Raw genomic sequence first — 18,259 nt, forward strand, 5'->3', positions numbered from 1 at the left:
TATTACTCTAATTTTACACATGGAGGAAACAAGGCCCAGAATGTCACTTTTTTAAAAAGGTTACTTGAATTCAGTTTAAAAACATTTTTAAAAAATCTGTCAGTGTGCAGTTATTTGCATTTACTTTTAGAAAAGAACACTTTTCTAATTAAAACATGTTCAGAGGATTGTTATTAGTCAACTTACATTTCCCCCACCTTATTAATAAGTTGCCATAGTTCCCTGTCTCTTTATTTAGTAAAAACACTTTTCTAATTAATATGTATTTTCAGAAAGTACTGCTGTTACTCCACTTACATTTTTCCCCATCTTATTGAATAAATTCCCATACTCTGCCTCCTTTCTCTCCATATAAAGCGATACTCCTCTCCTCCCAGGTTTATTGTAACTCTAAGTTTGCCTTTATTTATTCATTTATGTTATGAGACAGGGTCTTGCTCTGTCACCCAAACTGGAGTGTAGTGGTGTGATCATGGCTCACTGCAGTCTTGACCTATCAGGCTCAAGCAATCCTCCCACCTCAGCCTCCCAAGTAGCTGGGACTACAGGCGCACACTACCAAGCATGACTAATTTTTTTTTTTTTTTGAGATGGAGTCTTGCTCTGTCGCCCAGGCTGGAGTGCAGTGACGCGATCTCGGCTCACTGCAAGCTCCGCCTCCCGGGTTCAAGCCTTTCTCCTGCCTCACCCTCCCGAGTAGCTGGGACCATAGGCGCCTGCCACCATGCCCGGCTAATTTGTTGTATTTTCAGTAGAGACGGGGTTTCACCGTGTTAGCCAGGATGGTCTCGATCTCCCGACCTCGTGATCCGCCCGCCTTGGCCTCCCAAAGTGCTGGGATTACAGGTGTGAGCCACCACACCCGGCTCAAGCATGACTAATTTAAAAAAAAATTTTTTTGGACCGGGCGTGGTGGTTCACGCCTGTAATCCCAGCACTTCGGGAGGCCGAGGAGGGCAGATCACGAGGTCAGGAGATTGAGACCATCCTGGCTAACACAGTGAAGCCCCATCTCTACTAAAAATACAAAAAAAAATTAGCCGGGCGTGGTGGCACGTGCCTGTAGTCCCAGCTACTCGGGAGGCTGAGGCAGAAGAATGGCGTGAACCTGGAAGGCGGAGCTTGCAGTGAGCCGAGATCGCGCCACTGCACTCCAGCCTGGGCGACAAAAGCAAGACTCCGTCTCAGAAAAAAAAAAATTTTTTTTTGTTTTGTAGAGATGGAGTCTCACTATGTTGCCCAGGCTGGTCTTGAATTCCTAGGCTCAGGTGATCCCCCTATCTGGGCGTTTCAAAGTCCCGAGATTACAGGCCCAGCCAGACTTCATTCTTAAGTAAATTTTAAAGTTTGCATTTGACAGACGCATGCTAGAAAATAATATCAAATGCCAGAGTGGAGAAGGGAATATGTAGATTCTCCCATGTATACCTCTCCCTTACTACCCTCCCCAAATTTCTTTAGTGCACAAAAGGACTATGGTAGGCAACAATAAACCAGGTTCATGTTCTTGTCAGTGCAGTTCAGTCTGTTTATAAGGGACACGCTGCTAAGAGTAAGATCTCTATTGTGTTCCTACGGAAAACAAAACGTAATACATCCAAGACAAAACTAGGTTATTCTTTGAGTCTATACTCATTAAAACATTAACAACCACTCATTCTAAGGCCAAGCTACAAATATAAAAACCAAAAAAGTATTTCAAAATAATGACTGATGCTGTACCCCAATATTCTCATTTTTCTACCTACACATACCATCATTATCTACCTACAAGGTCCAGGAAGTCATTTGCCTACTTTTTATTCCTTCAGAGACACCAAAGTCCGTGTTTCCCAATTAATATATTTTACATGTGAAAACACATTAATAAACTCTGCAAAATGGAAAAAGGATGAGAAAGAATGATGAGATAGATAATGTAAAAAGTATGTAACTACCAATATTCTGATAATAAGCAGTGACAGAGGAAATACAGGCAAATAGGAATCAAATGATTAGAATTTTCGTTAGTGATCATTTGGCAATGAGTGTATATATCAGTTGGCTCTCCAAGAAGGCAAATACTTGATTCTTGGCATTACTCTTTTCAATTTTCTAGTTCTGAAAAAAATTCCATTTTAATGGAAAAGGTAAAATAAAGGACAATGTAAATGATGTAGTTGAGAGAATATAAGCTTTAAAGTCAGTCCTTCGGTTTGATCCCAGATCTTCCACCCTGATCATGACATTCAGGTTACTTTTTCTTTCAGCACCAGGTTCCCCACAGGTAAAATGGGTATAATATTATCTTCCTCACAAGGGTGGTGCGAGAAATAAATGAGATGTGATGTATGTGACATATGCAGGTACCCCCGTACCCAATATTATCTTTTTTTAGGGTTGTTGCAAGGAAAGAAATGTATGTGGAAGTGTAATCACAAAGCCTAGACCATAGCAAGTATCATATAAACACTCATTTCCTTTCCCTTCGAATCTTTATTTAAGTTGGAGCATTTTATTATTGGCTGGTAGTCATAGCATTTTATTATTGGCTGGAAGTCTCACGCAGCTGAAAATCCTGTGAAAAATGTAAATAGACAGGAATCTAACTCACGTATTTGACATATTCTTTCCACTGTTGCCACCACTGCATGGAGATGATAAACCAGTTGTGTCCTGCTTGCAGACCATACCTGCTCTCTCGTTCTAACCATCCTCTGTATGTACAAAAGAAATTAAATACATCAAACAAAGTGTGAAATAGGTGGCAACGCACAAAAATTATCATTAGAAGTTTTATAAGGAAAACCGCGAAACATTTAGATGTAATTAGGAGAGACTGCCAAAACCCAATTAGTAAAACAACACTGTTTCTATTGATAAACCAATTTCAAGAGTCATAGGGCAGTATCAAGAATAATTACTTCAGGAAAAGATTCTGGGAAAAACTTAAAAATTAAAAAAAATTAGAAAAACAACTGGTGTTTCCAATTAATTAATTAATTACATTTTTTGCAGAATGTTCATGTAACCAATGATGTTCTTCAAAACAGCCTTATTGAGGAATAATTTACATATATATAAAACTTACCTATTTTAAGTGTACAACTCAGTGATTTTGATAACTTTACAGATATGTGCAACCAACACCACAATCAGTTTGAGAACATTTAAAACATTTCAATTAATCCAAAAAGACTGCTGTAGCCATTTTTGGTCAATTCCTATTACCACCCTCAGCAACAGGAAACCACTAATCTATGTTTTGTCTCTTACAGATTTGTCTTTTCTCAACTATTCATATAAATAAAATGATAAAACACATGGCCTTTTAAAAATTTGGCCTCTTTGACTTTGCGTGTTTTTGTGGTTCATCTATTATTGTGGCAGACATCAGTTGGTTGTGCTTTATTACTGAATAGTATTCCACTGTATGTATATATTACATTTTGTTTATCCATCCAACACCTAAAGAACATTTGAAACTGGCAAGTCAATTTCCAAAGTGGCTGTCCATTTAACATTCCCATCAGCAATTCTAGTGGGTGTGAAACACTGTTACACTGGGATTATAAAAAAAAAAATCTACTCTATCTATCTATCTATCTATCTATCTATCTATCTATCTATCTATCTATCTACAGAATCTCACTCTAGCCTAGGCTGGAGTGCAGTGGTGCAATCTCAGCTCGCTGAAGCCTTGACCTCCTGGGCTCAAGCAATCCTCCTGCCTCAGCCTCACAAGTATCTGGGACTACAGGTGTGTGCTATGCCCAGCTAATTTTTTTTTTTTTTTTTTTTTAACTAGAGACAAGGTCTCACTATGTCACCCAGGCTGGTCTTGAACTCCCAAAAGTGTTGGGATTACAGACATGAGCCACTGTGCCCAACCAAAAACTATTTATTTTTTTGAGGTGAAAATGGCATAATATGAAATTATTTTAAATCATACAATTCAATGGCATTTAGTACATCCAAAATGCTGTGTGACCACCTCTTATTAAGTTTCAAAACATTCTGATACACCTCAATTAAAAAGTCATCCATTAAATAGTTATTCCCCATTACCCACTTCGCCCAGACCTTAACAACCACCAGTCTGCTGTCTGGACCTATTGACTTGCCTGTTCTGGATATTTCATGTAAATGGGATGATTCAACATATGACCTTTTATGTCTGGCTTCCTTCATTTAACATGTTTGTGAGGTCCAACCATGTTGTAGTATGTATCAGTACTTTATTCCTTTTTATGGTTGAATAATATTCCATGGTGTGTATATACTACATCTCGTTTAACCATTCATCCACTGATGGATGTATAGACTGTTTCTACCTTTTGGCTATTGTGAACAGTGGTACTATGAAAGTTGTGTTCAAGTATTTGAGTACCTGTTTTCAATTATTCTGGTATATATTTAGAAGTAGAATTGCTGGTACATGGAAATTCTTGCTGAGGAACTGCCAAACTGTTTTCCACAGTGATTGCACCATTTTACATTTCTACCAGCAATATATGAGAGTCCCTAATTTCCCTACTTGCCAAAACCTTCCATTTTAAAAATTCTAATAATCTTATTGAGAAGTAGAATTTCATTGTTTTGACTTGCATTTCCCTAATGACTAATTACGTTGAGCATCTTTTCATGTGCTTGATGATCACTGAACATCTGGAGAAACATGTATTCAAGTCCATTTTTAGGTGTCTATTTTTAAATTGGGTTGTTTGCTTTTTGTTGTTAAGCTGTAGGAGTTCTTTATATATTCTAGTTAGGAGACCCTTATTGGATTATATTATCTCCCATTCTATAGGTTTTTTTGGTTTTAAAAATAATATCTCTTGATGTATAAAAGTTTTAAGTTTTGCCAGGTACAGTGGCTCACACCTGTAATCTCAGCACTTTGGGAGGCTGAGGCAGGCGAATCGCTTGAGCCCAGGAGTTCAAGACCAGCCTGGGCAACATGGCAAACCCTCATCTCTACAAAATATACAAAAATTAGCTGGGCGCAGTGCCTCACGCCTATAATCCCAGCACTTTGGGAGACCGAGGCAGGCAGATAACCTGAGGTCAGGAGTTCGAGACCTGCCTGACTAACATGGTGAAACCCCGTCTCTACTAAAAATACAAAAAAATTAGCTGGTGTAGTGGTGGGCACCTATAATCCCAGCTACTTGGGAGGCTGACACAGTAGAATCGCTTGAACCCAGGAGGCAGAGTTTGCAGTGAGTCGAGATCATGCCATTGCACTCCAGCCTGGGCAACAGAGCGAGACTCCATCTCAAAAAAAAAAAAAAAAAAATTAGCTGGTTGTGGTGGTGCACGCCTGTGGTCCCAGCTACTCACGAAGCTGAGGTGGGAGGGAGTTTGAGGTTGCAGTGAGCTGTGATGGTGCCACTGCACTCCAGCCTGTGTGACAGTGTGAGACTGTCTCAAAACACAAAAACAAAACAAACGAAAACCTTTCAAATTTTGATGAAATGCAGTAGTTTTTCTTTGGTTGCTCATGCTTTTGGTGCTACAACTAACATTCCACTGCAAAATTCAAATAATTTTTGAGGAAATAGTTTTGTTAGATATAGAGATCTTGGTTACAGTTTTTCCCCCACTTTCAGTTCTTTAAAAAAATTACCATCCCACTCACTTCTGGATTCCATGCTTTCTGATGAGAAACATGCTATTAATTTTATTGATGATCCATTGTATGGGACAAACAGCTTCTCTTTTGCTTTCAAGATTCTCTCTTTGTTCTTGGCTTTGTAAAATACAGTTTCATTATAATGCTTCTCAGTGTGGATCACTTTGTTTATCTTTCTTTAAGTCCAATGAGCTTTTTGAACGCGTAGGTTCACGTCTTAAGAAGTTTAGGACAATTATTTCTTCAAATATTCTGCCCTTTCCTTCTCTCTCCTTTCCTAAGATTCTTATGTTGACACATATGATGTTGTTCTATGGGTTTCTTACGTTCTGTTCATTTTTCGTCATTCTGTTTTCTTTCTGCTCCTCAGTCAATAATTTCAATGGACTTTTATTTAACTTCTCTGATTCATTCTTCTGCCTGCTCATATCTGATGGAGAACCCCTCTAATAGATTTCTCATTTCAGTTATTGTAGTTTTCAGCTCCAAAACCTGTTTGGTTCCTTTTTATACTTTCTCTTTATTGATACTCTATTTGTACATATATCATTCTCTTGGTTTCATTTATTTATTTCTTTATTTATTAGTTTTTGAGATGGAGTCTCGCTCTGTCACCCAGGCTGGAGTGCAAGTGGCACAATCTCAGATCACTACAACCTCCGCCTCCCGGGTTCAAGGGATTCTCCTGCCTCAACCTTCCAAGTAGTTGGGATTACAGGAGCCTGCCACCAGGCCTGGCTAATTTTTGTATATTTTTTAGTAGAGACGGGGTTTTACCATGTTGGCCAGGCTGGTCTCGAACTCCTGACCTCAAATTATCTGCGCCTTGGCCTCCCAAAGTGCTGGGATTACAGGCGTGGGCCACCATGCCCAAGCCAATTCTCCTGGTTTCCTTTAGTTTGTTGTCCATCACCTCCATTAGCTCTTTGAACATATTTAAGATAATTGATTTTAAATGTTTGTCTACTAAGTCCAATGTCTGTGCTTCCTCAAAGAGAATTTCTATTAATTTCCTCTGCGAATGGACCACACTTTCTTGTTTCTGCAATTTTTTGTTGAAAACAACATTTTGAGCATTAATGGTAACTCTAGAAATATTTCCCTCCACCTCAGGGTTTGCTTTCACTGACTGCTATAGTTGTTTGTTTAGTCACTTTTCTAAAATATTTTTATAAAGTCTGTCTTCCTTGTTATGTGTAGTTTCTTAAGTCTTCATTTCACTTGTGTTCGAAGAGCTAGTATTTTGACAGTGATTTCCTAGAATGGCAGAAGTGGGGAGAGGGAGAGAAGAAAAGAGAGAGGGAGGGAGAGAGAGGAAGAGAAAGAGAAAAAAGGGAGAGAGAGAGAGAGAGAGACAAAAGACAGAGACAAAGACAAAAACCACTACTGTCTTTGCAGAATGGCGCTGTGCTGGGGCATTCCTACAATGGTTTACAACTATGCCTTAGCCTTCACTACCTGTACCCTTAGTCTAGAAGCTCAGCCAGAGGTGAAAGTTTACGGGTCTTATAAGGTCTTTTCTGAGTGTGTATCTTGTTGTTGGCATGTGCAAAGCCTTCTAAATTACCCAATGTACAGTGTGCTTTTGGGTACTTTAATTTCCCAAGGAAACTCTCAAGTTCCCACCACCCGCAAGACTTTCAGCATTCTATTATATGCCTCAATTAAAATATTTTACCCCAGGTGACTGCAGGTGGCTGGCTCGTTTGCCTTACAGAACTTCTGACGAATAACCCTGCCTGCCTTTCCATCCTGGGTAAATTCTGAGTTAAGTATAACATAGCTGAGCATCTTGCAGTAGCTTTTCTGGTAGCCCCAGACGGTTTAGACAAACACAACTTGTTTTGTTTTGTTTTTGAGACAGAGTCTTGCTCTGTTGCCCAGGCTGGAGTGCAGTGGCTCAATCTCAGCTCACTGTAACCTCTGCCTCTCGGGTTCAAGCGATTCTCCTGCCTCAGCCTCCCAAGTAGCTGGAACTACAGGTGTGCGCCACCATGGCCGGCTAATTTTTTGTATTTTTAGTACAGACGGGGTTCCATCATGTTGGCCAGGCTGGTCTCGAACTCCTAACCTCAACTGATTCACCCACTGTGGCCTCCCAAAGTGCTGGGATTACAGGTGTGAGCCAACGCACCCAGCCTGACAAACACAACTCTATAAATAAGGTATGTTCTGCTCTCTCTGAAACCAGGGACCAGGTGGGTTGCCATTTTCAAGGCTGCCATTACTAAACCAGACAATGGCAAATATATATACAGGCTTTTAAAAAATTATTATTTTTTTTATAATTTTTTAAATCAACATTTGCTTAGTAGCTATAAATCTTTGTCTCTTTCTTCAGAGTTCCAACAGAGTTGAAATGGGCAGTTTGTTCTTTATTTTTCAATGTTTCTGTGGAGAGACAGGCTCTTAGAGCTACCCACTACATAATTTTCACTGAGTCACTCCTCTCATTGTGCTTTTAATTTGCCTTCTCTGAGGAAGCAGAACATCTTGTCATGTACTTACATGTATGGTTAAGAGTCTATTCAACTCTTTTACACATTTTAAATTAGATTTTCTTGATGTCTTAATGTGTTGTAACAGTCCTTTATATATTCTGGACATGAATACTTTATCATATATAAAATTTGCAAATATTTTCTCTAGGGCTGTGAGGCTGTAGCTTTTATTTTCTTAATGCTCTCTCTTGAAACTCAAACGTTTTTAATTTTTTCTAAGTCTTACACTTTTTTCCCCACTTATAAACTGTGCTTTTGGTGTTATATCTATGAAATCTTCTAATCCCAAATCACAAAGATTTTCTACATTTGCTTTTCTAGAAGTGTTATATTTTTAGCTCTGATGTTTAGGTATAGGGAATCCATTTTGAGTATACTTTTAAGCATAGTGTGAGGTAAGGGGTCTAAAATAATCTGTTTGTGTATGGATATCCAAATTCTCCTGCACCGTTTTTTGTTTTTTAAAGAGACAGAATCTTGCTATGTTGTACAGGCTGGTATGAGGTGGCTATTCACAGGTGTGATCACTGCATACTCACACTAAAGCCGTGAACTCCTGGGCTTAAGTGATCCTCCTGTCTCAGCCTCCTGAGTAGCTGGGACTACTGGCCAGCTACACCACTGTGCTCAGCTCCTCCTGGACCATTTTTTTTTCTTTTTAAAGTCAGTCCTTTCTCTACTGAATTTTCTTGACATCTTTAAAAAACAATAAAAATGATAATAAAAATAACCATTGACCAAAAATATAAGGGTTTCCTTTTTTTCTTTTTTCAGGCAGAGTCTCACCGTCACCCAGGCTGGGGTGTAGTGGCATGGTCTCAGCTCACTGCAACCTCCGCCTCCTGGGCTCAAGTGATTCTCCTGCCTTAGCCTCATGAGTAGCTGAGACTACAGTCGTGTGCCACCATGCCTGGCTAATTTTTGTGTTTTTAGTAGAGATAGGGTTTCGCCATGTTGGCCAGGCTGATCTCAAACTTCTGACATCAGTGAAACCACCTCTGCCTCCTAAAGTGCTGGGATTACAGGCATGAGCCACCACGCCTGGCCAAGGGTTTCCTTTTAAAATATCAATTCCATTTTACTGATCTCTATGATTCTCCTTATTCCAGTACTTGATTAATGTATCCTTAGGTAAATTGTGAAATCAGGAAGTCTAAGTCTTCTGTTTTTTGTCATTTTTTTGAAGTTGTTTAGGCTAGTCTGAGTTCTCTGCATTTCCCTATACAATTTAGGAATAGCTTGTCAATTTATAGAAAAAAGCTGGGATTTGATTAGGTGTGTTTTGAATCTATAGAACAATTTGAGAAAATTGCCATATTGACAACAATAAGTTTTCAAATCCATTTACGTACATTTTCTTAAATTTCTGTCAGCAATGCTTTGTATCTTTCAGTGCACAAGTCTTGCACTTCTTTTGTTGAATTTGTTTCCAAGGGTTTGATTTCTTTTGACAATATAGTGAATGGAATTGTTGTCTTCTTTTTAATTGTACTTTCAAATTATTCTATCTAGTACATGACAATTCAATTGATTGCTTAATCATTGATCTTGTATCCTGTCATGTTGCTGAACTCATTTTATTAATTCTAACAGTTTTTCTGTGAATTCTTCAGGGTTTTCTACACATAGGATCATGTTATCTGCAATTACAGACAGTTTTATTTTTCTTTACAATCTTGATGCCTTTTATTTCCTTTTCTTGCCTAATTTAACTAGCTTGAAGCTCTAATACAATGTTGATAAGTGCGGCAAAAGCAAGTATCCTTTCCTGATCTTATGGGAAAAGCCTTCAGTGTTCTACCATTAAGTATGATCTCAGCTGTATGTTTTTCAAGATATTTTTTAGAGTGAGGAATTTCCCTTCCCCAAAGTTGTGAATGAGCATGACTGTGCTCTAGTAAAATGTTATTTATGTACACTGAAATGTGAATTTTATATAATTGTAAGGTGTCACAAAATATTTATCCCCTTTTGGTTTTTTCTAAGCCACTTAAAACGGTAAAAACATTTTTAGCTTGCAGATTGTACAGAATCAGGCAGTGGGACAAAGTTGGTCAATATGCCATAGTCTGCTGACTAACTGCTGGCCTAGTATATGGTCTATCCTAGAACAATACTCTGTCTACATTTGAATATGTATTCTGTTGCTGTTGGCTGAAGGGTTCTGTTGGTGGGTGCATATATCATCATTTATCATAATAAAATGTCTCTCTGGCTCCAGTAACTTGACTTTTGTAACCTAAAAGCCATTTTCTTTTCTTAACAGTAAAGTGATTTTAGTTCACGTATGGCTATATTTGTATGGTTTTATCTTTTATTCTTTTACTTTCAACCTATTTGTGCCTTTGAATCTCAAGTAGCTGGATTGTGTTTTTTTTTTTTTTTTTTTTTTTTGAGATGGAGTCTAGCTCTGTCACCCAGGCTGAAGTGCAGTGACGCGATCTCGGCTCACTGCAAGCCCCGCCTCCCGGGTTCACGCCATTCTCCTGTCTCAGCCTCCCGAGTAGCTGGGACTATAGGCGCCCACCACCACGCCCAGCTAATTTTTTTAGTAGAGACCGTGTTAACCAGGATGGTCTCAATCTCCTCACCTTGCAATCCACCCACCTCGGCCTCCCAAAGTGCTAGGATTACAGGCATGAGCCACCGTGCCCAGCCAAGTAGCTAGATTTTTCAAAAAACAAGTCAGTCTAAATCTTTGGCTTTTGATTATCTGTTCAATCTGTTTATATTTAAGGTAAAAACAGATGTGGATTTATGTCTGCTATTTAGTTTTTTGTTTTCTATGTATCAAGTCTATTTGTTCCTCTATTCCTCTAGTTCTTTCTTTTGTGGTAAATAGGTATTTTCTAGGAATTTAAATAGGTAACATTTTAATGCCTTTTTAAATAAAACTATTTTGGGGGATCATTTTCTTAGAGATTGTTGTAGGGTTTACAATATGGATCTTAACATAGTCTACTTTATTGTTTATTTTACTTTATGTTTTTGAGATGTCATCTTGCTCTGTCGCCCAGGCTGGAGAGCAGGCGTTCCATCTCAGCTTACTGCAACCTCTGCCTCCTGGGTTCAAGTGATTCTCCCACCTCAGCCTCATGAATAGATAGGGTTACAGGCACGCACCACCACGCCAGGCTAATTTTTGTACTTTGAGTAGAGACGAGGTTTTGCCATGTTGGCCAGGCTGGTATCGAACTCCTGGCTTCAAGAGATCCGCCTGCCTTGGCCTCCCAAAGAGCTGGGATTACAGGCGTGAGCCATGGCACCCAGCCAACATAGTCTACTATGTTTGATTGATACTAATTTATTCCAGTAAAGTATAGAAACTAAAAAAGTGTAGAAACTAAAACATAGAAACTTTGCTCAAATATAGCTCCCCTTCTACTCTCACCTTTGTGCTATTGTTGTCACTCATATAAGATCGTTATATGTAATGGGAACAACATGGTTTTATAATTATTGTCATGTAAAAATGTCTTTTAAACCAGTAAAAAATAAAATAAACAGAATGGTATATTTATACTGTCTTTTATTATTACCTATGTAATTTCTACTATTGGTGCTCTTTATTTTTTTTTTTGGCAGTTTTTATGGTTTTATTTAAACATAAAACATGCATATGAGCTGTCTATTCATTTTCTTCACAGGCTGGCATTGGGATTGGTGACTCTGATGGCCAGCTGGGCTGCTCTTTCCACAATGTCTTTGCAGTTCTTGGAGGAAACACTGTGGGCAATCTCAGCACACTTGTTGCACGTCAGCAGCACTTCCAGCTCCTTGACATTGCGGACCAGGAAATTCTGGAAGCCACTGGGCAGCATGTGGTTTGTTTTTTGTTGCTGAACCTTCTACAAACTCTGTTGTCAATACCTCTGGGTTTCTGTCAGTTACACTTAGTTTTGACATATCAGTGTAACTGGTGCTGGATGAAATTCTTGGTTCTCTTTTTGATGATCTTGGACTTCACAAGGGGTCTGAGGGCAGCTATGATGCCAAGTAGGAGATGGCTGCCACCTCCGTAGGCAGCGCCAAGGAAGAGAGCCTCTTTATTTGTTCATGTGGATGTTAATAACCGTCTGGTGTCACTTATTTTCAGCTTGAAGAACTTCCTTCAGTATTTAAAGACAGATTTCCTGGTAACAAATTTTCAGTGTTCATATAGGAATGTCTTTAGTTCACCTTCTTTTTTTTTTAATGTGTTTTTTTTTAAAAAGCTTTAAAAATATTTCTATTAAAAAATTATATATAATAATAGTATATGTTTTTGGGGTACATGTGATATTCTGATATATGCATACAATGCGTAATGATCAAATATGGTAATTAGGATATTCATCACCTCAAATATTTATCATTTTTTTGGGTTGGGAATATTCCGAATCTTCTAGCTAATTTGAAATATACAATAAATTATTTTTAACTATAGTTACCCTACTGTGCTATTAAACACTAGAAGTCATTCATTCTATCCAACTGTATTTTTACAGTCATTAACTAACCTCTCTTCAATATTATCCCTCCTGCCCTTGCCAGCCTCTGATAACCATCATAATACTCTCTAATTCCACGAGATCAACTTTTTTAGCTCCCACTTAAAAGTGAGAACACGTGATATTTGTCTTTCTATGCTTGGCCTATCTCACTTAACGTAATGACCTCCGGTTTTATCCATGTTGCTGCAGATGACAGGATTGCATTCATTTTATGGCTGAATAACATTTTATTGTGTATGTGTGTGTGTATATATATATATATTTTTTTTTTTTCTTTATCCATTCATCAACTGATGGACACTTAAGTTGATTCTGTATCTTGGCTATTGTAAGTAGTGCTGCAATAAACACAGGGGTGTAGATAGCTCTTTGCTTTACTGATTTCCTTTCTTCTGAATATATACCCAGCAGTGGGATCGCTGGATAATATGGTGGATCTATTTTTAGTTTATTGGGGCACCTCCATACTGTTTTCCATATTGACTGTACTAATTTACATTCCCATCAATAGTGTACTAGCACTTCCCTTTCTTCACATCCTCATCAGAATCAGTTATTCTTTGTCTTTTTTATAATAGCCATTTTAACTGGGAGATAATATTTCATTGTGGTTTTGATATTTCGATTATGATTAGTGATGTTGAGCATTTTTTCATATATCTGCTGGCCATTTGTATGTCTTTTTTTGAGCAATGTCTATTCAGATCACTTGCCCATTTTTAAATTGGGTTATTTGGTTTTTTGTTATTGAGTTGAGGCCTTTATACATTCTGGTTATTAAAACCTTGATGAATGGATAGTTTGCAAATATTTTCTCCTATTCTGTTGGTTGTCTCTTCACTCTGTTGACTGTTTCCTTTGCTGTAAAGCTTTTTAACTTGATGAAATCCTGTTTGTCCATTTTTGCTTTGGCTGACTGTGCTTTTGAGGTATTATACAGTGTCATACCACTCAGACAAATGTCCTACAGCATTTCCCCAATTTCGTCTAGTAGTTTAGGTCTTAGATTTAAGTCTTTGAATCCATTTTCTTTTCTTTTTTTTTTGAGGCGGAGTCTCCCTGTGTAGCCCAGGCTGGAGTGCAGTGGGGCAATCTCGGCTCACTGCAACCTCCACCTCCCGGTTTCAAGCAGTTTTCCCACCTCAGCCTCCTGAGTAGCTGGGATTACAGGCGCCTGCCACCATACCCAACTAGTTTTTGTACTTTGAGTAGAGATAGGGTTTCACCATGTTGGTCAGGCTGGTCTCGAACTCCTGGCCTCAGGTGATCCAGCCGTCTCGGCCTCCCAAAGTGCTGGGATTACAGGCATGAGCCACCTCGCCCAGCCTCTTTAATCCATTTTGATTTGATTTTAGTGTATGGTAAGAAATTGGGAACTGGTTTCATTCTTCTGCACGTGGATATCCAATTTTTCCAGCACCATTTATTGAAGAGATTGTCCTTTCTCTAATGTATGCTCTTGGCATCTTTGTCAAAAAAGAGTTGGTTGTAAATGTGGGGGGTTTTGCTTGTTTGTTTGTTTTGGTTTTTTTTTTGTTTGTTTGTTTTTGAGACAGAGTCTCATTCTGTTGCCCAGGCTGGAGTGCAGTGGCGTGATCTTGGCTCATTGCAACCTCCACCTCCCCAGTTCAAGCGATTCTCCTGCCTCAGCCTCCTGAGTAGCTGGGACTACAGGCATGTGCTATCACACCTGGATAATTGTTTTGTATTTTTAGTAGAGACGGGGTTTCACCGCGTTAGCCAGTATGGTCTCAACCTCCTGACGTCATGATCCACCTACCTCAGCCTCCCAAAGCACTAGGATTACAGGCGTGAGCCACCACGCCTGGCCTGGATTTATTTCTGGGTTCTCTGTTCTGTTCCATTGGTCTATTTGTCTGTTCTTATGTCAGTGCCATGCTGTTTTGGTTACTATAGCTTTGTAGTGTATTTTGAAGTCAGGTAGTAATTCACCTTTATTTCTGAATTACAGTTCTGCTAGATAAAGAATTCTGGATTGACAGTTTTTGCTTTTTTGGTTTTTTCCTTATATCACTTTCTCATATCACTGCACACTGAGCTCTATTGTTTCAAAAAGTCAGCTGTTTATCACATTGTGGTTCCCTTCTACATGATGAGTCTTTCTGCTCTTGTGGCTTTCAACTTCTTCCTTTGTCTTTAGTTTTCAACACTTTGACAATGATATGTCTAGGTGTGATTCTTTCTGTGTTTAACCTAGTTGGAGTTCATTAAGCTTCTAAGATTAATAATTTTCGAGAAATTTTAGAACTTTCAGACATTATCTTGTCAAACTTTTTTCTGCTTCTTTCTTTCCTTCTGAGACTTTCATTATGCATATTTTGGTAGACTTGATCATGTTCCAACTTCTGTGAAACTCTGTTCATTTATTTGGTCTTCTTTCTCTCTTTCTGATGAAATAATCTCTATTGATCCATATTCTGTTTTGCTGAATATTTCTCTGTCAACTCAAATCTGCTAGAATTTCTATTTGATTCTGTTTTAAATTTTTATTTATTTATTGCTATTTTCTATTTGGACAAGTCAGTGAGATCATACATTCCTCTAATTCTTTAAATACAGCTTCGTTTAGCTCTTTGAAAACATTTACAATAGTTGTATTGAAGTCTTTGTGTGCTAAGGAGAACATCTGCTGCCACCTCTGAGACAGTTTCTACTATTCTTTGTTTTTTCCTCGTATATGGGTCACATTTTCCTGTTTTATTCCATGTCTCATAATTTTTTCTTGTTGAAAACTGAACACATTTGATACTTTATATTAGCAACTCTGGATTCTGAACCCCTGTGTGTTTTGTTTTGTTTTACGACTTCCTGGAACAATTCTGTAGAGTTTATCTTCCGGTACAGTATCTTGCAGTGTGAAGCTGCTCAGTTTCTTCGTGTTTTCTTTTTTATTATCTGTTTTTATTTTTAAGCTTGGCCTTCTTGGGGTGAGCCTAACTTACTGGTCAGCCAATGACTGCTGAGAGGTTGTGCTCTCAGCAGTTTACTGGTTGTGTTTAGCCAGTAACATTCACACCCTTTTCCTGATGGATCTGTACATGGTTTGGGGAATGCATTTAAAGTTTGGGCAGGTTACAAGCCTACCCTGGCTTTTACTTTCTGCACATGCAAGGCTTCACCTTCAACTAGGGAAGAATAAAGTGCTAAAGCCCACTTTGGTTTCTCCTGAGTTTGTGTATAGCCTTGTACAAGCAGTCTACAGATCACTGGGGACATGAGAAAGCTTGCTAAGGCTCACTATGGTGATCCTGTTCCCTGTTAAAAATTTGACTGGTCTGTTGTTAGTCTGCTGCTTCCCCTAACCAGTATTTTATCCCCAAGCTGGTGATGTCAGTTTTCCCTCACTGTTTACCACCATGATGGTATGTATTTATTTTATTATCCTTGGACAGGCATTTATTCCTGCTCTCCTTCAAATCATGAATCAGACTGACAGCCCATGCAGACTTGCTGGATGGGAGGAAATGAAAGCTGCTCCTGGTTAAATTACCACACACTTCCATTGTTCTCACCAAGGATTAGTAGTTCTTGAATAAATGCTTCTCAATTTCTTGTATATATTTGGTCAGTTTCCAGAGTCCTGAAATGGTTGTTTGACAATTTTGTTCAGTTTTTTAAGTGCTTTTGGGGAAAGGGTTGGCTGAGATCTTCACTCGGCCATTCCAGAAATCACGATACTTTTTTTTTTTAACAACGTACTGACTGTAAGTTAGAGACAAATATTTGTTTCACCTCATTGCATATGAACCAACCTGAATCATCCTTTAAAAATTATCACAGTCAAATGAATTTTTATAAGTAATAGTAGAGGCAAAATAAAATAAAACTGAAAATGAATAAACAAATTTTAAAAAAAACCCACAGATGAAATGAACCCATTTGGAACCAACAATTTTAAATCTAGACTTATTAAAAAATACAAAATACAAAAGGCAAATTATTGGTACTTTTAATGAAAGAGGTCCTAAACTTGATTCTGCCAGTCCCATGTAATTTCAGGTCCTCAACTTCTATAAATCTTGGTTTCCACTTTTACAAAATGAGAGACACTAATTTCATGCAGTTATTCTAAGGACCAGATGAGATAATGTAACTACATGTATTTTACAAAGAATAACTTTCTATGAAAATATAAGATTATATCAACCTTATTTTTTGAAATAGGGATGCTATGAGTAGTTGTAAAATAAGCCAATAAATATAAATATAGGCTATAAAGCATTATTTCTACCTATGCTAAGTGATATTTACCTCAGAATATATTACTATAATAAATTAGATTGTAATATTCTAAGAAAAAAAGTCACTATAGCCACATAAAAGCCTTTATGTATGTCCTTACAATATCTGGTTTCTACATGTCAATTATTTTAAAATCCTACGTTAATATATTTTAAAATCTTTTAGTAGCTAAAAACTAGAGACAATCAAGAAAACACTCAAGAATATCAAGACTGAGTCTTCTGAGTATGAATATTTAAAAAACTACATGAAAGTTGGGCACATTGGTGTACACCTGTAATCCCACCTACTCAAGAGGCTGAAGTGGAAGGATCTCTTGAACTCAGGAGAGTTCAAGACCAGCCTGGGCAATACAGTGAGACCCCATCTCAAAAGAAAAACCAAGACAGAAAATAAAACCAACAAACAAAAACTACATGAGACTAGAGTTTTATGAAAGCAACATTTAAAAAAATAGATTTTGCTTAATCTTCTTTAAGAAATAACCATGCTGTTTTGCATATGGAGTGGCCACCCATTTATTCCTTTCTTTTCTTTTTTTTTTTTTGAGAGAGTCTCACATTGTCACCCAGGCTGGAATGCAATGGCATAATCTTGGCTCACTGCAGCCTTGACCTCCTGGGCTCAAGCAATCCTCCCACCTCAGCCTCCCAAGTAGCTGGGACCACAGGCGTGTACCACCAAGCCTTGATAATTTTTGTATTTTTTGTAAAGACAGGGTCTCACCATGTTGCCCAGGCTGGTCTCGAACTCCTGAGCTCAAACAATCCACCTGCCTTGGCTTCCCAAAGTGCTGGGATTACAGGCATGAGCCACTACACCCAGCCCCTTCACTTTCTTAATAAACTTGCCTTCACTTAAAAAAAAAATAATAATAATAAATAACCGTTTTTAAAACTTGTCATTTAAAAACTTAGAAAATATATCTACTACTTTAAATATCTATATCTTAATTGGCATGTCCTGTTTAAATGCTGAATATGTAATCCTATTCTCAGGTATTCCAAACAACTCTATTTTAGTAAACTCCCATCTATCCAGAAACCCAAGCCAGAAGAAACTACTGAAAAGTTTGTATGCACAATACTTTCAAGAAAAAGTCAAATGACAGTACCTATTGAGAGTTTATTTTAAAAGCAAATTTTACTAGAAATTCAGTCCTATTTCTGAAACTATCTACACAAATGTGTAGCATAATAGCAATGTCACAAAGCAATGAAAGACACTCAAGTTATTAAAAATTGGACTATAGCTATAAAATATGCATACCTTTGTTTTTTAAATATAATCCGGATATTTGATCTTAAGTAATTTATCCTAAAGTAAATCCTTAAGCCAAGACATAGAGATTTTATTAACAAAATTGGTCCAATATGCTTATACTAAAA

At 37.9% G+C, this 18,259-nt stretch overlaps 1 protein-coding gene and 1 pseudogene across 13 annotated transcripts in view; both read right to left on the minus strand.

Annotated features, from left to right (window-relative positions):
- USP32 (ubiquitin specific peptidase 32) overlaps nt 1-18,259 on the minus strand; it is a 245,090-nt gene that overhangs the window by 56,218 nt on the left and 170,613 nt on the right. For all 13 annotated transcript variants that reach the window (XM_011525372.2, XM_011525371.2, XM_011525376.2 and 10 more), the window contains one exon: nt 2,594-2,696. In XM_011525372.2, coding sequence (XP_011523674.1) covers nt 2,594-2,696 — 103 coding nt within the window. The remainder of the gene's footprint in view (nt 1-2,593; nt 2,697-18,259) is intronic.
- RPL32P32 (ribosomal protein L32 pseudogene 32) lies at nt 11,760-12,103 on the minus strand (annotated as a pseudogene).

This window comes from Homo sapiens, chromosome 17, assembly GCF_000001405.40.
Source record: "Homo sapiens chromosome 17, GRCh38.p14 Primary Assembly".
Classification (NCBI taxonomy): domain Eukaryota; kingdom Metazoa; phylum Chordata; class Mammalia; order Primates; family Hominidae; genus Homo; species Homo sapiens.